Source organism: Homo sapiens, chromosome 3 (assembly GCF_000001405.40).
Source record: "Homo sapiens chromosome 3, GRCh38.p14 Primary Assembly".
Classification (NCBI taxonomy): domain Eukaryota; kingdom Metazoa; phylum Chordata; class Mammalia; order Primates; family Hominidae; genus Homo; species Homo sapiens.
In genome coordinates this window covers 76,973,464-76,995,706 of record NC_000003.12, presented here as the reverse complement: position 1 = coordinate 76,995,706, position 22,243 = coordinate 76,973,464, and the positions used below count along the sequence as shown (strand labels likewise).

General features: G+C 34.9%; 1 protein-coding gene across 29 annotated transcripts in view, besides 2 other annotated features; it reads right to left on the bottom strand.

Moving 5' to 3' along the window:
• ROBO2 (roundabout guidance receptor 2) overlaps positions 1–22,243 on the bottom strand; it is a 1,743,290-nt gene that overhangs the window by 654,258 nt on the left and 1,066,789 nt on the right. The window lies entirely within an intron of this gene.
• Positions 4,708–5,209: an enhancer, noted in NCBI's record as "OCT4-NANOG hESC enhancer chr3:77039649-77040150 (GRCh37/hg19 assembly coordinates)". NCBI's record gives its function as "activates a minimal SCP1, AML or CMV promoter by ChIP-STARR-seq in naive H9 embryonic stem cells {active_cell/tissue: H9 hESC(naive)}" and the evidence as "EXISTENCE:reporter gene assay evidence [ECO:0000049][PMID:30033119]".
• Positions 7,302–7,502: a silencer, noted in NCBI's record as "peak4717 fragment used in MPRA reporter construct". NCBI's record gives its function as "represses an SCP1 promoter by STARR-seq MPRAs in K562 erythroleukemia cells {active_cell/tissue: K562}" and the evidence as "EXISTENCE:reporter gene assay evidence [ECO:0000049][PMID:32103011]".

Sequence of the window (22,243 nt, the reverse complement as noted above, 5' to 3'; positions counted from 1 at the left end):
CATCACTGGCCATCAGAGAAATACAAATCAAAACCACAATGAGATACCATCTCATACCAGTTAGAATGGTGATCATTAAAAAGTCAGGAAACAACAGGTGCTGGAGAGGATGTGGAGAAATAGGAACACTTTTACACTGTTGGTGGGACTGTAAACTAGTTCAACCATTGTGGAAGTCAGTGTGGCGATTCCTCAGTGATCTAGAACTAGAAATACCATTTGACCCAGCCATCCCATTACTGGGTATATACTCAAAGGATTATAAAACATGCTGCTGTAAAGACACATGCACGCGTATGTTTATTGCAGCACTATTCACAATAGCAAAGACTTGGAACCCACCCAAATGTCCATCAATGATAGACTGGATTAAGAAAATTGTGGCACATATACACCATGGAATACTATGCAGCCATAAAAAAGGATGAGTTAATGTCCTTTGTAGGGTCATGGATGAAGCTGGAAACCATCATTCTCAGCAAACTATCACAAAGACAGAAAACCAAACACCGCATATTCTCACTCATAGGTGGGAATTGAACAATGAGAACACTTGGACACAGGAAGGGGGACATCACACACTGGGGCCTGTTGGGGGTGGGGGGTCTTGGGGAGGGATAGCATTAGGAGAAATACCTAATGTAAATAATAAGTTGATGGGTGCAGCAAACCAGCATGGGACATGTATACCTATGTAACAAACCTGCACGTTGTGCACATGTACCCTAGAACTTAAAGTATAATAAAAAAGAAAAAAAAAAGTAAATCTATGCTCAAATTATTCCTAATTCCAAATTAATGAAAAAAGTAACAATATTAACATAAGGTTTTTCCAACTTTGATATGTTTTTATTATATTGCTTCTTGTAACATTTCATTTAGTTGTTGGTGAAATGCAGAAGATTCTAGCACATCTGTGGTTTATGGAAGGGTAAGCCCAAAATATTAACATACATTTTTCCAGGAGAACTCAAGATATAATTTCACAAAACTGTAATTTCTCCAAGAACAGGTATCTTGTCCACCTATTTTTAAGCACTGTGTATATAGAGCTTTGCACACTATCTGGAGCATAATATGCCTTCAGTAAAGATTTGCTAAAAAAACAAATAAGAATTTCTTACTTGCTATCCTGAATCAGTCATTAACCATTCTTCTGATTATGATTTCAGAGAAAATTAGAAGACAAATGTTTTATTATTATTACACTGTTGTTATTCTGTTTGCTCATTGCAATCATTTCAGAGTAAATCACTTATAATTAGCAAAGAAAAGAGTAACCAATAAAAGCAGTTTCCAACTTTCCCAATGCAGTAAAAAGTTTAAAGTTTGTATGTGAGGACTCAACATGTGCTTTCCCGTAGAAACAGCATTAGAAATAATCAAGTTCACAAGCCAGTACACAAAGTCCTATGTGATCATTAATGTAGCTAAAGTATGTTACTAATGGAACAAGTCTAAATTCCTAGTTTTGATTGTTGTTGGATACATGGCACAGCAAGTGAAAGATATTTTCTCCTTTTCTTGAACAGGGTTGTTCAAAGCTAACATTTAACAATATATGCAGATAGCCTTGTGCACTCATTTACCAGCTTTAAAACAACAAAAAAAAAAAACAAAAAAAGCACATCTTTGTTTTTTTTCTCACCAAATTACGGAGTGAGAACTCAGAATGTGTGATCCTCAATAACCCACTGCTATTTTTACCAGGGTGGCATTAAGTCTTCTTCAGAGACATATTTCAGTAATGGTAACTGATGTGTAGCTGTCATTTAGAAGAGTAGAGCTTTAACTATTCTTACAATGTTTTGTTTTTTTTTTTTACAAAAGCTAAAGTTAAAAAAATATATAGTACTACATGGGTATAGATAGTTTCTATAGAATGGTTGACAGGAAATGCATGGGTATTTGGAGATAAATATCCTAAGACTGAAAACACATAACTCCCATGGGTCTCATGTTTTCTCATATTTGGTCCCTTATTTTAAGGACTAAAGAAGTCTCAGGACCCCTTCCCATCAAAGTATGGTATGTAACTTTCCTTTTCTTCTTCCTGTTTGAGTAGAGCCGTTAGGATGGAAACACGCTAACTAAACAATTCACACTTACCTATGAGTGACTGAAAGCCTTTTAACAAGATTCAAGGGAGATACCTGCATTTGTTTTTTTAAAGGAGGCCATTAACCAAACCAATCTTTACTTGGAAGAATTTCAAGCACTATATCAAAATAATATTAAAAAATTATGATATGAATGAAGACATTTTGGGGATAGTGATCTAGAACAAACAAAGATTTATTTTGAATAATTTGTATGTGACTTTGGGGATCATTTCCTCTAAGATACATTTGAATTTCACAAACTCTTTATTCCTTCACTTTTCAAGACAAGAGTTGCTAAGAGTGATGTTTACATTTTATTATTTTTTAAACAATAATAGACTCAAATGTTACTAGTAACTCTTCTTAGAAGATGAGACAAAAATTGATCAACAGGAGATTGACTGTAAGTCAGAAGCTTTGAAATCAAGGATGCTTTTATTTTTCTTGAAACTTTTTTTCTTCTAGCTTAAAAACTTTCGAGATTTTAGGCTGGGCACAGTGGCTCATGCCTGTTATCCCAGCACTTTGGGAGGCTGAGGCAGGTGGCTCACTTGAGGTCAGGAGTTTGAGACCAGCCTGGCAAACATGGTGAAACATCATCTCTACTAAAAACACAAAAATTGTCCAGGCGCGATGGTGAGTGCCTGTAATCCCAGTTATTCAGAAGGCTGAGGCAGGAGAATCACTTGAACCCGGCAGGTGGAGGCTGCAGTGAGCCAGGATTTTGCCACTGCACTGCAGCCTGGATGACAGAGTGAGACTCCATCTCAAAAAAAATTAAAAAAGTAAAACTTTGACTTTTTATGTTTTAGAATGACTGTGGTAGAAAATGGGTCTCAAAAACTGAAAGACTAGACCTCAAGCTATACCATTTCTTGTGACTCAGATGCTACCTATGGCAGGGGAAGATAGATTTCTGTTCAGCAACAGGGACATCAGGCCCTTCATATAGAAAAAAAAAATTCTTATTTTTAGGAAAAAATTGACGTTATGCCAACATTTCATATAATTCTCTCCCATGAAAAATTGGTCCAAGTGCATGATTTTTTTTCTCACGAAATTACGGAGTGAGAACTCAGAATGTGCGATCTTCAATAACCCACTGCTATTTTTACCAGGGTGGCATTAAGTCTTCTTTAGAGATGTATTTCAGTAATGGTAACTGATGTGTAACTGTCACTTAGAAGAGTAGAGCTTTAAATATGCATATACTTTTTTTTTACAAAAGCTAAATTTATATATATATATATATATATATATATATATATATATATATATAGTAATACATGGATATAGATAGCTTCTATAGAATGGTTGATAGGAAATGCAAGGGTATTTGGAGATATATGTCCTAAGAATGAAAACACACTGCTGCCATGAGTCTCATGTTTTCTCCAGTTATCTGCCCTTTTCTGACTTAGTTTTAGTGTACAATAAATAGTTCTTTGGTAACTCTGTTAGAAAGGACTCTTTTTCTAACAATGTGTTATGCTTATACTACAGGATAGTAAATTTTCTTGGAACAAGGTCTATGTTCTGGGTGGCATACATTTCACATTCAGAACAAAAGCAAGCATCCACACTGAAGAACTAGAAGTTCTATTTGGTCATAGAAATTTATAAGGGGCAGCTCCTTTACATTTCTACAGTGTCCCATATGTATACCAGAGTGACTATCTGATTAAAGGCTTTTCAGATAACCCTGCATTTGAGGATATATGTCCTCCAAGCTGGGGTCAATAGCCTTACTGGAATGCAAAACACAAATTCAGAGGTTTTTGAACTCTGCCACACTCTATTTTCTCTGATAGTTGAAGCCTTTCTACTCCCACTAACAATGTATTCACTTGGTTTCTTATTGCAAATCAATAAATGTCAGGATATTCATGCTATGCACAACACATCAAAAGCATAATATGTTAATCTAACATTAGGGCTTTATCTAGATTTTCTATGGTAAAGAATACTTTTTCTTTGAATTATCAACTTATTATCTCTTCAAAACGTAATGAAAGTCCTCAAAACTTAATGAATCCCGTGATAAAAAGCAAAACAACACACAACAGCGTTGTGGAACCATGACTTATACAACTCCCTTGCACAAGCACAGAGATCTGAGCTGATAGTGGTTGTAGATATATGAGCAACATTTCATTGTAATTGGTATTAATGACTTCAGACTACACACAGAAAGTGAAAACTAGAAAACAATGCATACTGTGCGATGATATTGCATTTAGGTGAATTACTCATAATTTAGTAGTTTAGAATGTTGCAATACAGCATATTACACAATAGTTTGACTTAACTCTTTAGCCATCATCACCTATAGGTAAAAATAACTAAGTATTTTTTACCAGTGGCGAATCCATAAGGGTCTGCATACATGTCTGCAGCAAGCTCAATTCTTCCCTCCTCAGAAGAGAGAATTTTACTGAGCAGCATAAGGCAGAAGAGACCAGGTCAAGTTTTAGAGCCGTCGTGAAAGTTTACTAAAAAGCTTTACAGCCAGAATGAAAAGAAAGTTAAGTACACTTGGAAGAGGGCCAAGTGGGCAACTTGAAAGACAAGTGACCAGTTTGACCTTCTGACCTGGGTTTTACAAGTTGGCATGCTTCTGGGGTCTTGCTACCCTTCTCCCCTAATTCTTCCGTTGGGGTGGGCTGCCTGCTTGGCCCGCCAGCACTTGGGAGGGGAGCCTGTTCAGTGTGTTTACTGGAGCTGTATGCATGCTCACTTGAGATATTCTTCCCTTACCAGCCGAATGTCCCTAGAAGGTCACATACCAGTTAAACTCACCGTTTTGCCTCTTGATATGCATGCTTGAGCCCATTCACCCAACTCCTGAGATCTCATCAGGAAGCTGCTGATCACCAGTTTCAGGTTTTTCCTATATATGGGGAGACTGCCTTTCCTTTCCCTAGCGCTGGCTGCAACCAATTACTATTTTAGAGAGATAGTTAACAACTGCATGACCATCACCTGATGGTCCCTAACATTCTTGGCGTGTGTTGGGGGGCCAGAGGGAGCCCTCTCCTGCTCTGCTCATGTCTGACTAGCTATCTACTGTAACAGTTCCAATGGCTGTTATTCAGTAATGTGAATAGCAGCAAATTATATTCTGAATATCAAGGTTTTTTTAAAAAACTGTCAACATTAGGTAGAGCTAGTATTTACTAACTTTAATATGTTGATTTCCTAACTAGAGTCATGAAAAAATTTAAATGATAGAAACTTTGTGATTTTATATGTTTTGTTTTTGTTATTAATGATTTTGCATATGTAATATGTAACTGTGCCCATATGTTCTAACTGGAAATAGGTAGGCAGGAAAGCTATCTGGTTAAGTTGAAGAAAGACCAGCTAAGAAAAGCTAAGGTTTTCAGAACAGTCATTTTGAAAGAGATGAAGAAAATACATCGTGATGAATCCCACTGAGTTTGTAATAGCTACCCTAAAATTCTGCATTTTAGTTTTTCATTTTATTTTAATTTTTAAAAGAATAGAAGAGAGTAGAAAAATAATTTTTCAATAGCTTTCATAATACAAGTTACTGGAGTTTGAAAGGAAAATAATCATCTTACCATACTGAGATCTATTAGATCTCAAGGTCTAAAACATGAATTAAAGCCCTAGGTTTAATGCTAATAATAGGATTCAGGAGCAACAAAAGTGAATAATCAACCTTTTAAGTGTAAAAGAAACACAACTATGCCCCTGTTCATGCATGCCCACATGTGTATGGGCCTGTGGACACACACATACACACAGACAAACTATATAAGAAAATTTTATTTCACCTGTCATTATAACTTGTTGAACTGCTTTGTCCCAAATATCCTGCCAGATTTCTCTCTAGTCTTATATCAGTTTTCTTATAATAAATACCCAGTCTTACTGAAATATGGAAATGTAATAGGGTGAAAAATTAGAGCACATAGGAGAAAACCTTCTCCAAACACAGTATAATGATTTAAATTAAATTTTGTTGCTCTAGCATAATAATCTATTATCTTTTTATTTTTTTCAAATGTCATCCTAAGAACCCGGCGGTTAGTTACAAATATTTCATCTCAAATGTTGTCTTCTAAGTTTAAATGTTTTTTAAACTTAGAAGTTTAAAAAACACCCCAAACTACTTACAGAGACTATAATGGGAAATGAAAATTACATACTTTTATTATCATATTATGTATAGTTTATGCTCATTAGACCATAATAGGGTGATTAAGAGCAGAATCAGCCTGCACAGATTCAAAATGTATTCCTTGTCTGCTCTGTTTCATTCATCAGTTTATGTAGCTTTTCTGAGCCTCACTTTCCTAATCGGTAAGTGGCTATAATATCCCATGCAAAGTGCTTACAAATGTCAAATTTATATTACATTCACCATAAATATTTCCTATTACTGTCTACTCTATGAAACTTACCTTTCTAATATTTTAACAGTTTCATGTTAAATGAGTTTCTTCCCCTATTACCAAACTACCAATTTTGTTGATCAGTATAGATAAGAATGCAAAAGTATTGATACTCAGCAAGTGTTTAATTATCATGTTAAGAAGGTGTTTAGGGAGATAATACATATGAAAATACAGGACAAATGTTTCTTCTACAAACTGTGATTTATAGCATATTTTATTATATACCTTAATATAAATTATTTTTCTAAATAGCACATTGGAACAATTTGAAGCTTCTCTTTGGAGTAGGTCTTTAAATGTGCAGCATCAGGGCAGGGCTGAGGTAAACACTTCTGTAGTTTGATACTCGATTTTGAAAATACATATTCACTTCTTGATCTTAATGTCTCGAAGCACAAACTGCAGTTCAGAAAGGAAGTTGTTTTAGGCTTTGTTTTCAGAGCAAAGGATCAGAGGCATTAATGTCTCAGTTCTACTGAAACAAAGAAAATTAATCTACTGGGAATAACAGTGGTATTAAAAGTCAGGCCAACACCAGCAAATTGAAGTGGAAATAAAGACACTTATCAAAATAACTCAGAGAAAGGTAAAGAAAAGGTAAGGAAATGAAAGGAGGATGAACCAAAGGAAGGACTGACAGATGGAGAAAATAAGAGTACTGTCTTCTACATTTCTACATATAGAGAAAATAGGAGCACTCTCTTCTAGATTTCTGACCTTGATTACAGCCCAAACTCCCACAATACAAGTTATATAAATTATTGATAGAGCTCATTGGAAAGTGCTTTTTAGCCTGACTTATTCACCTAATTGTTCAATTCTCAATTTACTACTTCACTTTGGTGGTGGAGACCTGACCAAAGAGGGTTTTTGGCAACCATCCATTCCCCTACTGACCTCTTTCTAATCAGGTTAACCACAGCTGGGAAGACATGATTTACAGTATATTTTTATTTGGCCCTTGGTGGAACTGCAAAAAAGCCTTACCTTTAGGGTTAATAAAAATGAGTACATCAACTGATTATTTTAAAAATCTACTTTTCTAACAGGTTATAAGATGAACAATGGTGTAATGCTCATATCAGTAAATTGGTTGCATAATATTTTATTTTGTCTCGTAATTACCTTTTAATTACCAAATAAAGTTAGCTTATATACATGTATTTTAACAGTAAGAAATGTCTAATTTTCAAAAATAAAAGCATATATCATGACAAATGATCTTTATAGATTATTTTAATATCACTTAATTTTAAATTTGACATTATCTTTACGTGACAGAGTTAAACTTTAAAAATATTAATAATACACTTCATTTTTAGGTGTTTGCCATGCAAAAAAAAATTCTCGTAAACAAAATGAAGTTAATTATTTGGAGAACTTTAAACTATTCCCAAGGAAATGCTTATTTATCCACAAATTAGTGTGGTAATCAGTGGTGGTACAAAAAATCTATGAGAACTGATGGGTCGTTTTGAAAGGGGGTATTAAAGAAACAAATTTAAAATTACTGATTTGAACATAAAATATCACTGGCTTTTTTTTAAGCTGCCTTTTTAAAAACGTGGAAGATCAGGCTAATTTTTTAGAAGTGCATGAATTATTGATGGCATAAAGTCCTTTGCAATATCCCAGTAAAATACATTGCTACATAGGTTTTGAGTTATATTTTGTGACTACTGTTCCCAAAAGAGAAATAGGACCAAGTGAATACTGCTAGAAGCAAGGAATTCAGCTCTAAACCCTGATGAAGATTTCAATCAAAGGGAAGTCGCACATGGAGCATTAAGAAAGAAAATAACACTGTGACGCATGATTCCCTCCCCCCCACTACACGGCAGTGTGGAACTGAAACAAAATGAACAGTGCAAATAGGTCTGAGAAAGCATGTTCTTTGTAAAAGGCCGAGATCTCTAGAGGGCAGTGTATTAAATTGCAGATATTATCTAGCTAAACCCCAAATCATAAAAGCATGAAATTAGTAATTGACTCAATTTGCCTCATTTATTAGTAGCTCAGACCTCTGCTAGAATTAATATTGCCCAACGGAATTTCAAGTAGTGGTGGCGTGGCGTATCACGACAGAGATTAGCGCCTGCTTCTTTTACTGTACTTCAAACATCCCACATCCTCCAATTAGCTGAGCTCTAATCTAATATGCATGCTTTTGGCACTTTTATTGTCAATAAGATGTGACATCCGTTTTTTATAATGTCACGTTCATTTTAGTTAGTGTGGAATTCACTGTGCCTTAATTTGGCATGGTCTTTCTAGCTGTTTGTTGTATCTTGTCTCAGCCTAGGGGTTTACTTATTATATTCCCTATCGATTTTAATAATAGATATCAATTAAAGATGAAGGTTAATTATGTATACGCATGTAATATAAAATTTGCTAATAGCATAGTCAGTTCCATATTATAATACAAATACCACAACCAAGCACAATTCCATACTTTATTTCATATTTTTCTAGTGGTGATTATACATGAATTACATTTCCATTTTCCTAGTGTTGGCAATAATTACTATTTTTGCACATGTACAGATTAATTTTATAATATTTCAAAAAAGAATCTGTTTTTTAAAAATTGTAATATTCTTAAGTTATTTTGGTGATAATTACAAAATAATATAACTTTCCCCCCTGAAAGTCAAGAACTTTAATTTATAATAGAACATTAGTATGTTCTTGGGCATTCTGGCAATGAGTAATAGGAAATTAAGACACGGTTACCTGTGTTTACCTAAAAATATATATATTTTTGGTGAAACTCATGTTTTATAGATTCCAAACAAAGCTATGTTCTAGAACCTAGAATTTGACCTACATCTTAAAAGCAGTAATAAAAATTTTTAAAGCAGAGGTAACTCCTCAGAATTTTGATCAATAGTAAACAGCCCTAAAGATAAATATTCTACATTATGTAACTTAGATTTTTATAAATTGTATCGATCAATGCGTACTATATAGCAAGACATTTAAATAGATATTTTGCCTTTTAGTACTTGGAACCATTTGATTAATTAAGAAACAGTGCAGCTTTTCTATTGTGATGGTATAAGAAATGAAACAGTGCCAAAATACACATAACATATGAAGTTTCAAAAATATAAATCTGCTTTAAATGCTTATCAGAGTTATTGATTAGATTTATAGTCAGTGGGCAAGAAAATAACATTTTCAAAAATAAAAAGGTTGCTTAAAAATCTTGCCCAAAAATTTTATTAAGAAAGGGGAAGTAAAAGTTACAAATGTCCTTGTAAGGGATTTCCAACAAAATTAATGACCACATGGAGTTAATGGTCCCAGGACCACAAGCTCTTCCAGTTGATCATTAATCCTCAGGAAATACTGGCATCATATATGTTATTGTTGAAACTATATCTAGCCAAGAGGTCCACTCTGTTCCTTCACTGTTGCTTGAATTATATCCCACCTGTTGAGTTGAAGTTGAATATGCAATGGAATAATTTTGAAGAACATTAGCCATTGCTAACAATGTTCAAATTGATTATGTCCTCCTAGAGAGAAATGAACTGCTCCGTTTTTTTATGCAAAAATAGATTATCTTCTTTTTTTTTTTTTTTTTTTTTTTTTTTTTTCAGACGGAGTCTCGCTTTGTCGCCCAGGCTGGAGTGCAATGGCTTGGCTCACTGCAAGCTCCGCCTCCTGGGTTCCCACCATTCTCCTGCCTCAGCCTCCTGAGTAGCTGGGACTACAGGCACCTGCCACCACGCCCGGCTAATTTTTTGTATTTTTAGTAGAGATGGGGTTTCACCGTGTTAGCCAGGATGGTCTCGATCTCCTGACCTCGTGATCTTCCCACCTTGGCCTCCCAAAGTGCTGGGATTACAGGTGTGAGCCACCGTGCCCGGCCAGATTATCTTCATTTTATAAATTTCATAGCCAATATTTTCCTAAAGCACATATTTTAAAGTTATTCAGTATAACATATATTTTAGCTCACTTTAATGTTTAATAAAATTAACATTATGATTATTAATTACAAGTTAAAATTATTGATCTAATAAATTCAGTGTACTAGACTATGCAAGAGGTCAAACCTTAAAGAGAAAAGAAATGAGAACATGAGAAAAGGTGTGTTTCTACACAAACTAAGATTATTCACATCATTCTATATTGATTAATGTCAACATTATTACATTACTCATATCAATTCTATTTTGACAATAATTCTGAATTCATTATTTTAGTTTGGGCTAAATTATATTAAAGATATTCAGGTTTTATTGCTGTAAAATACTTTCAACCTATATATGCTATATATTTTTGTGTATCATTGAAAAATTAATAATAAAAGTATATGTAATTATGTCAAATAAATGCATTATAGTGGTATAAAATATTTGTTCAAACTTTTTGTCCCTTCATTTTACTATTCTAATTCTCTACTCTCATTTTTTTTAATTTTTCTAATACTGTTTGATTCTCTTATAATCTACTTATGTGAGTCAGACTTTTATCCTCCTCTTCATATTTTATGAGTATCATTGTTAGTTTTAGATCCAGGGCTTCCCACCACGTTTCCATGTATCTTTCAAACTTTTTCTAGGAGGATGGCAAACCCAAAGTAAAAGGGTTTAACCCTCATCTGGATTTCGGTAACTGCTTCTATCTCCCCTGGAACCAAATCGTACTTACAGGTGTGGTAGAGTGTGGATACCCCAGTGGTTGCGCTCTTGGAGAACAATAGGCTCAGTGAAGGTCACGGGTCTAATTTTCTTCCTTTTGTACTTTTTCTAAACTCTCTTAAACTTCCTGTGCCAAAAAGGTTTGATGTCCTGTTCTACTGGGTCTTAGAAAAAGGCTTGGCTACAGTAAGTAAAGAGCTGAAAAAGCTGGAGAAAGAAATTTAGTGAATAGAGAGACTAGATGGTAAATGTAAAGAAAACCAGGCTTGCAGTCTTCTGACCCAAGTGTGAATCCCAGCTGATATGGTTCGGCTGTGGCCCCACCCAAAATCTCATAATCTCATTTTTGAATTGTAATCCCCAGAATCCCCACGAGAAAGGGCTGGACCAGGTGGAGGTAACTGGATCCCGGGGGGCGGTTTCCCCCATGCTGTTCTTGTGATGGTGAGTGAGTCTCATGATATCTGATGGTTTTATAAGCCTCTGGCATTTCCCCTGCTGGCACTCACTCCATCCTGCTGCCCTGTGAACAAGGTGCCTGCGTCTCCTTTGCATTCTGCCATGATTGTTAAGTTTCCTGAGGCCTCCCTAGCCACGCAGAACTGCGAGTCAATTAAACTTCTTCCTTTATAAATTACCCAGTCTTGGGTATTTCTCCATAGCAGCCTGAGGAAAGACTAATACACCAGCTTTACCAGTTATTTAGCTGATTTGGGTCAAGCCACTTGAACTTGTAGGAATTCAGTTTCCTCATGGTAAAAGTGGGAGGACGTACCTTATCTGGACAGAGTGAGTCAAATGTGATTATTTGTATGTAAAATCACTCTATTGTCTATCATATAATAGGTACTTTGTAAGTTTTTTTCAATCTTGAAATAAGAACTGATCAAATCTATTTAACCAAACAAACAGTATTCTTGTCCTTGTAGGTTCTTTAGATATTTCTTCCAACATAAATTCCTATTCCAATATTGGGTGGAAAAAAGGGTGTGAATGAAATCAATATAGACATTACTAACTAAATAGATGGATTAATTATATTAATATGTAAATTTACCCTTGGCGTTCACTTTATTCCTTTATTTAGTTTAGAGAAATGTATTTACTAAATCATATATTGTCTGTTAAGAAAGCAACATATGCCTTTCAAATCTTTGAAAAAATTTGTCAATTGTTGAACTAGTAGTGCTTATTTTCTTTTCTAAATATTAAATATGTACACTTTATAATTTTTTTTTTGAGACGGAGTCTCACTCTGTCACCCAGCCTGGAGTGCAGTGGCGCTATCTTGGCTCACTGCAACCTCCCCACCTTCCGGGCTCAAGCAGTTCTCCTGCCTCAGCCTCCTGAGTAGGTGGAATTACAGGCATGAGCCACCACGCCCGGCTAATTTTTTGTATTTTTAGTAGAGATGGGGTTTCACCATGTTGGCCAGGCTGGTCTCAAACTCCTGACCTCGTGATCTGCCCGCCTCGGCCTCCCAAAGTGCTGTGATTACAGGCATGAGCCACCATGCCTGGTCTACACTTCATAATTAAACACCAAGTTGGAATAAATAGCTATGCTAAGTTTTCTTTAATTAAGAATTATTGATCCTGAATATTTTGTTGTTCATGTATGAATTATTAATTCACATAAATAAAAATAAGTCTAATGGGCACTGATTGCTAGAAATTCTACTAACGAAGCATGGTGAAATGAAACAAAAACACATTCATTCACTGATGCACCTAATATCATTTTCAATACAATTTCTACTGTATTTTAATGTATAGAAGTCATTTAAAAATTATATTTGAGATATTTCACATAGTCACAAAATAAATAGGTATAAATTAATAAGATACAACCGTGCCCCATAATTCTTTCATTTTATTTTATTTCACAGTGTAATATATCTTCATATAAAATGTACTTATTTAGCAAAACTGTCAAGTAAATCTTAACATTCACATGAAAATTCAAGAGATCCAGAATAGCCAAAACAATCTTGAAAAACAAGAACAAAGCTGGAGACCTCACATTTCTCAATTTCAAAATTTACTACAAAGGTATGCTAATCAAGACAGTGTGGAAATGGCATTAGGATAAAATTGCAGATCAATGGAACATAATTGAGAGTCCAGACATAAACCCTACATCGCAGTCAATTGATTTTCAACAATGGTGCAATAGTATTTGATTAGAAAAGAATTGTCTTTTCAAAAAAATCATTCTGAGACAACTGTATAAGTAGATGTAACAGAACAAAATTGGAACCTTAACTCATACCATATAAAAAACTAAGTCAAAATAGTTCAAAGGCTGAAATGTAAGAATATAAAACTCTTAGAAGAAAACATAGGGGTAAATCTTAATGAGCTTGAATTTGGTGGTAGTTTCTTAGATACGAAACCAAAAGCAAATGCAGCAGCAACAAAAAAATAGAGAAATTGGACTTCACCAAAATTAAAAGGCTTTTTTTAGTTCAAAGAATACTGATATCATCTGGATATTTATCCCTGCCCAAATCTCATGTTGAAATGTAATCCCCAATGCTGGAGATGGCACCTGGTGGGAAGTTTCTGAATGATGGGGGTGCATCCCTCATGGCTTGGTGCTGCCTGTAAGATAGTGAGTTTGTTCTGGGGAGAGCTGGTCATTTAAAACTGTGTGGCATCTTCCCATCCACTCTCTCGCTCTCTCTCTTGCCCCTGTTTTTGCCATGTGATGTCCCTGTTCCCCGTTCACCTGTCAGCATGATTCTAAGCTCATAGAGGTTTCACCAGAAGCCAAGCTGATGTCAGCACTATGCTTCCTGTAAAGCCCACAGAATAGTGAGCCAATTAAACCTTTTTTCTTTATAAATTACCCAGTCTTAGGTATTTCTTTATAGCAATGCAAGAATGGACAAATACAGATATTGTGAAGAGAGTAAAAATAAAACCCACAGAATATTAGAAAGTTATTGCAAATCTGATAACTTATACCTAAAATATACAAAGAAATATTTTAACTCAATAATAAAAACAAAAATCACCCAATCAGAAGAGATATACCTCCAAAGAAGATATACATATGAACAATAAACACATAGAAAGTTGTTCAAAGTTATAGCCATCAGGGAAATGAAAATTCAAATTCACAATGAGATATCACTTCACAACCACTATGATAGCTGTAGTAAAAAAGTGCTGTGGAGGATATGTAGAAATTGGAATCTTCCATACAATGCTGATTGCTGATAGCTATGTGAAATGGTATAGCCACTTTGGAAAATAGTCTGTCAATTCTTCAAAAGATTAAAACATATAGTTACTATATGACCCAGCAATCCTCTTCAGGTATATACACGAGAGAAATAAAAGTATATGTTTACACAAAATCTTGCACATAAATGTTTATAGCAACAGTGTTCATAATAGTCTAAATGTGCAAACAACCTACATGTCCATCAATTGGTGCATAGACAAACAAAATATGTTATTTCCATGCAATGGAACATTATTAGGCGACGAAAACGAATGAAGTACTGATACATGCAACAGAATGGGTGATCCTTGAAAACATTATGCTAAGTGAAAGAATCCAGTGATAAAGGACAAGATGATATTATATGAATCAATTTACATAAAATATCCAGAAAAGACAAATTTATATGTAGAAAATGTAGATGATTAGTTGCCTAAGGCTGGGGAGGGAGAGAGGATTAGGGATGGAGGTGAAGGGTTTTCTTGATACAATAAAAATGGTCTACAATTGTGGTAAATTTTGCATAGCAAATATAATAAAAAACATTGATTTGTATACATGTTAATAGGTAAGTTTTTTGGCATGTGAATTATCACATCTCAATAAAAGCTGTTACCAAAAAAAAGCAAGAAAAGATTACCAAGATTATTATTAATTTTAATAATAAAGTTAAACCCACTTCCCAAAATGCATAGTTCAAGTTGTCAATATATTAAGAGAAAAGATATTTTATTTTACTTGTATTAAAACAAATTTTGTTATTGATGTTATCCCATTAATATAATCTGTGGTATGCTATTTTGAATCTCCTAGCATAATTTCTTTCACTATACCTGGGGCCACAGTCTGGTATAGAAAATTAAAGGGGAAGATGGAACCGTTCATCCTCCAGCTGCCCCCTGTCAAGTACAGCCCTGATACCATACAGTAGCTGATGCTTCCTAAGTTAGCATCTTGCACTATTTCTAAAGATTTAGGAAGCCAGCGTAGCTAGAGTAGTGGCTGTGCTATTTCTGCCTTTTGATTACTTAGGCCCATTGTGGTTTAACCGCCAATGGCCGAGGAAATGTTTTGCAGTAAAGCTCAGCCTTCACATTATATACAGCAGCCTTAATAAACAAAAAGCAGCCGAGAATGGCCAATGGAATAAGATAGTCCTCCATTTGCAGAGTTTCCTGTGCCATTTTACTAAGCTTCACCACTTTCTCATGATTCAAAGTAAGTTATTTCCTGCAGTATGGTACCAGATGTGCATGCTTCTAGTATCATCACCAAACACACCAAAGTATTTCTTCCTTTATAAGCTCAGCAGACAATTCAGCAAAGACATTTTTTTTTTTTTTAACCAAGTCTCTATATCAGGTTTTGGAACAGAAAGTCCTCTTTAGTTCTTAACTTTATAAAATTCCCAGGCCTTGTTTCCAGGAATCTCCTCAAATTGTTACACAGTGAGTTTACACTCAATAAAAGAAAACATCAAGTAAAGAATACAAAATGCATAGGGAAACTAAGATCTTAAAGTAAGTGTGTGTGTGTGTGTGTGTGTGTGTAAGAAAAGTAATTGGAAGATGTTACTTTTCTCTGCACAAAATTAACTATCATTCATTCCAGCAATCCCACTACCCCACTACTGAGTGTCTACCCAAAGGAAAAAAAAATCATATCAAACATATACCTGCGCACACACACACACACACACACCACACACACACATACACCCCAATACCATTCAGCAATAAAGAAAAATGAAATCATGTCTTTTGAAGCAACATGAATGGAACTGGCGGCCATTATTTTAAGTAAAACAACTCAGAAACAAAATGTCAAATACTACATGTACTCACTTATAGGTGGGAGCTAAATGAGTGTACACATGGTCATACAATGTGAAATAATAGACACTGGAGACCTGGAAGAGTGGGAGGGTGGAAGGGAGCTGAGGGATGAGAAATTACTTAACAGGTACAGTGAACATTATTCACATGCTGGTTACACTAAAAGCCCAGACTTCACCAATATACAATATATCTAAGTAAAAAAAACTACACTTGGGCCAAATGTGGTAGCTCACACCTGTAATTCCAGCACTTTGAGAGGCTGAGGCAGGAAGACCACTGCAGCCCAGGAGTTCGAGACCAACCTGGGCAACATGGCGTAACCCCACTTCCACAAAAAAACACAAAAAATATCCAGGTGTGGTGCTGCACACCTGTAGTCCCAGCTGCTTGGGAAGCTGAGATGGGGGGATCATTTCAGCTCAAGATGTTGAGTCTACAGTGAGCAGTGATTGTGCCATTGCACTCCAGCTTTGGCAACAGGGCAAGACCCTGTTTTTCTTTTTTTTTTTTTTAAAAAACAAACAAACAAACAAAAAAAACTCTAAAACTGCACTTGTACTCCTTATATTTACACAAAAAAAAGTAAAACAAGAAACCAGCTGAACAGAGCCCTCATAAGTCTGAAATATCTTCTCTGTCTTTGCTTGGGAAATCGTATTCATATATGTGCATTTAGGGTATGTGTGTGTGGAACTGCAGCAGGGTGAACCCATATTTTATTTCCACTATTTATTATAAGGTTGCAATTTCTCTTCTCGAAACTGAGTTAAGTATCTGTTACCTATTTTATTTCTCTGAGACATAGACAACTTGGTTTTTCAGAGCCTGGAGAATGTCCTTTATAATACTGCTTTCATTTTTAAGTCCAAAAAATATTGATTTCTCTGGTTATTCATCCTGATTTTCTGAGCAATATAGTTCTCATCTGGCAAAAGAGAGCTGAACTGAGCTATTTAGAAGAATCCATCGCATTTATTCATTGTTAAAAGACACTCAAATATATTCCTAAAAATCTCAGGTCATTAAGAGCATTCTTGATATTCTTTCTTCTGCGCAAATAAAGGTGGCACTATGTATTTCAACAGGAAAATACAGAAAAAAGTGCTTTATTTTAAATAATATAAATATTTGCATTGTGAGGCTATAAGATCGATGCATAAAGTGACCTCTAATATATTGCAATTAGTTGTTACTTAAGATAAATAGGTCTACCATGTGAAATAGAAGTGTAAATCAGAGCCTTGAATATGTACTCTCACCACCTTGAAGTAGGTTCTCTGCTATATTTAGCTTTGCATTTTCAATTGCTTTACTAAGTGTCCTTAATTTTTAACATAGTTTAAAAAATAACTATAGGAATCACCAAGAATATTGTCAGGGACATATATAATGCAGACTTGCAAGGTCATATGCAAACAGAAGAATGCTGAGTTTGGAATCTTGAGCTTTGCATGAATGCACAGAAATTCATGCATTTTAGAATATCAGCAAAGAATCTGTAAGGATTACTTCAAAGTATAAATAGGTCCATGTTAAACTTATTCATTATTTTACACATACTCATTCTGTCATGAGGAGATATTACTATTATCTGAAATTTACAGATGATTTTCCCATCTTTACCAAGACAGTATCTTTATGAAAATACTAAATTAGATCCTAGTTCTGTGTAACTATCAAATGCTTTACATCAAAACAAAGTACGGCAGATACAACTCCATGTAACTGTAGTGCTCAGCAATGCAGAAGGTGTTGTCAAATGTTTTTGCTGAAATATAGAAATGTTATAGCTTTCCTCTTATCAGAAGTTTAATAATGAATCAACAAAATTCATGAGGTTAGTTGCATGACTTCTGCAGTGAACCAAAGCTTTCTCCAAGTGAGTACCATTTCAAATTTCTAAATACTCAACCAAGTTATTCCTGTACCTTATAATCCATTACAAAGCTTTTCTTTGCACCAGCACCCATGTTAGTATTGTTTTCCATAAAGAAAAGTATTTTTCAATTTCCATGTACCTATAATGGAAAAACCTACTTGCCCAAAATTTATTTATAACCTTTTAAAGATATTTCAAAAACTGCTGACCATTCACCCTCTCACTGGTTCAATTAGGATTTTCAGAAATCACAAGTGTTCACTGTTACTTATTGAATCACTTTCCTCTCTGTAAAGCTTTCTTTTAAAATGTTTGTTATAATGCAGTTCATAATGGGCAGTGAACATGAAACTGGTGAGGAAACATAATGTTTATATCATGAGCTGCCAACATTATTGAGCCACACAGGGCTTCTTTGTATGAGATTAACTGGGATAGTTTAACTTTTATTAATTCATGTACTTCTTGCTTTCCTTTCTGGTACTTAGCTTCAATTTCAAATTTGCATGAAAGCATTTACATAGGATGCCATTTCCAACATGAATAGCAAATGGAAGCATTAAAATATAAACCAAAGTCTAGAAAAGACACTGTATTACTCAACAGCAAATGCTGATGTGAAAGCGAACCATATATGATTAAAATGAGCACAGAATTTAAATTCAGGTTTAATAATTTGTTAGGCTTTGATTTTCAGCAATATCATATGAAGTCAGTAATCACTTTTCACCTAGTTTCAAGATGATCACATAGTTTGCATTGCCTGATATAAAATTCCTCTTAGCAATGAAATTTACGGTGCAAAATAAGAATGTGTTTGGTTTGTTTTCATGTCTTAATTATTCTAAAACATTAACTATGTTTTCAGACTAATCATTCATTTAAACAGTTTGCAAGGTAGTAAAGCACAATGTGACTCAATGGAAATCAATGTAAAGGGAACAATTATGTGTCCTGCTGTGGGCTGGAGGTTTCCTTGTGTAGACAGGAATACCAATTGTTATAAAATGTCACCAGTTGAGTCACACATGAGGCTACTTACCAGCCATTCTCTGTAATGTTTTCAGTGGACATACTAAAAATGCAACCTAAAGATTAAACAGAAAATGCTGGTCATTGCGGTGCCATTCAAATACGGTTTGTAAAAAACTTCCCATTTCCCATTTAAGCGATTAAAGCAAACAAAAATTACGTTGATGACAATGAGCATCTGTGGGCTTATGTGAAAATGTTATTCAGTCTGAAAAGGTTATTTCATAGAGTTAAAAATAACAATGACCTAACTATGGGGTATTGTGTCCAAAACAATGTAGATAATCCTCTAGTTTCATATTGTTCGACCTTTTATTTACCTGGAAAACAACATCTGTTGTGAATGTTATCTATAAAATTGCCTAGTTCCATTTTTTAGTTTCTACTTCTATCTTTCAGATTCTCTGAAGTGAGTCTTCAGTTTAGATATTTACGACATATTGCCAGTTTTTATTCTCTATCTAACCAAAACACCAACAAAACATGGGACATTGGATAACATTGAGTTTATTTTCAGAGTTTAAATTCAGTGGCAGACGAGACTCTGTACGTCCAATTATCTGCCCATTTTAGGAATGTCTATTCCATGGTCATTAATCTTGCATATTTGAGATCTGGTTATATCTGTGTCACAGCTAAATCATGTCTTCATATGAATCATCAATATATGTATATAATTTACAGCATGTCTGTAAGAAGAGTTTTGGAGAAACAAAGTTTGGAAAGTTTTTTTTTAATGCTAAGCACACTGACAATTAAAATCTATGCTGGGATGTCAAAAAAGATTTGTGTTTTGACAGTTATAGTCATAAATTGACTGGTTAAAATTAAAGGACAAAATTTAAAAATAATAAAAATTAGAAGACTTATGTTTCTCAGGGGAAGAATTATACTTTCCTTCAAAAGCTAATTAGGAAAAGAAAGCTTCGGGAAAACAGAGGAAGCAACTTTAAAATCACTGTTGCCATTTTCTGGAATGTTAAACGGACACAAAGATGCTAAAAAGGGATCAAGTAACAGTGATCTAAATTACTTAAGACACAGTCGCAGTCTCCCTCTGTCGCCCAGACTGGAGTGCAATGGCGCGATCTCGGCTCACTGCAGCCTCCACCTCCTGGGTTCAAGCGATTCTCCTGCCTCAGCCTCCCAAGTAGCTGGGACTACAGGCACCTCCCACCATGCCTGGCTAATTTTTACATTTTTAGCAGAGACGGGGTTTCGCCATGTTGGCCAGGCTGGTCTCGAACTCCTGACCTCAGGTAATCTGCCCGCCTCAGCCTCCCAAAGTGCTGGGATTACAGATGTGAGCCACCACACCCAGCCCTCATTTCTAACATGTGGTCTGAAGCCTTCTGTGTAGGAAGATCACTTGAGATTTGTTTCAAAGATCCAAGAACACAAGTACACAATAAACAATGACATCAACTAAAGCACGATGTATTTTCCACGTTATAAATATTACTGTTTTTCACACGTATTTACATGTAACATAAGATACAAATTCATATTAAAGCATGTCTGCATTCCTAGTATCTTCTTGTTATATCATAGAGTGTATTATTATTATCATATGGAATTTTTTTTTAATTCAAAAGGAATCCTTGTACAGAGTGAGGACGGGCTATTATGGAAGATGTGAAAGTGAGGTCATGTCTTAGCAGTCTGTAAGCTGTTTACTACTTTTGCTTTTTTGAATGGTATGATTTAGCCAACTGAAATAAACCATTACTATCCCACAAAGCCCTCTAAGGGCTACCAACAGCTGGGGAAGAGAGGCCAAAAACATTTCTAAGAATAGATGGTTCCAAACACTAAGTAAAGAGGCACATTTCGAGCAACAAATTTTGTAGGTATTTAGACACTTAAGTCTACAATGAAGGTCAGCAAAAGCAAATGCAATATCAGAGAGGTTCCTTAAACACTGTAGGAGGCTGTGTCAGAAAAGAATAAGTAAGTAAATAAATTACAAGGCCTTAGCGAAACATGAACATAGTAACCAGAACACCTGGGTTGCAGTCCTTCAGGCTGGGTGATCACCTTGCTAGGTAATTGACCTTGGCCGAGTTGCTTTCCTCATCTGCAAACTCAGATGAAAAATAATGCATATTTTGTGAAGATTCAGTTGCTTAATTTATGGGACTTACTGAGATTATGACAGTTTCTGGCCAGCTATTCACTAAACATTTTTCCTTTGTCTAAATAATAGAATATCAAGTTTTAAAAAGAAAAGAAAAATAAGAAAAAGGGGGGGATTAAAAGGCTAACAAAATAGCTTCAGAATATTTGCATGCAAATGTAATATGTATCAAGGCTGTTTATTAGAATTTTTATGTTTTCAGATGTAATGTTTATCAAGGCGGTTTATTAGAATTTTCCTATTTTCAAGATTGCCACACTTTGTTGTCCTTCAAATAAAAGATAATTTTATTTGCTATATGAATGAGAAAAGACTAATCTGTTTGCAAGACTCTTCTAGAAATGTAAATCCTGTGATTTGTTAACAGAACCACCAAAATTAAAAAGGAAAACATGTTATTCAGTCAAGAGAGACTCAAAACCTCTTGTCCTGCCATAACTCATTGTATGTTCATCACTTTGGTGTGCCCTTTTCTTGAGTTTATCACCCATCCCCACCTGTGTCCCCATCTACTCAGAGAGGCAGCTTATCAGATGTAGTCAAAGCCCCATTACAAGGTGATATTGTCTACTGTGTTTTGAACTAGACGGTGAGCCCTTTGGGATGGGATGGGGTGGCAAAAATGTCTAATTCATCTTTTATTATCTTTTTCTTCTCTAGCACAAGATCTCATACATAGTCAGAGCTTAGTAAATGTTCATTATTACACTGAAATTAGAAATCTAACGTTCAGAAAAAGTCATGCCATGTCTCTTGTGTATGTAGTTAATAGATAAGGTGTTAATTATCTGTGACATGCTGAAATATGGTGCCCATCATACATGAAGACAATGCTATTGATAATAAGGTATAAGATGTTGGATTTTTCTTTCCATTACAGTAGTGGTTGATTATATTATTCATTTAGTTTAATAATAATGATATGAATATTATAATTATTCTTTC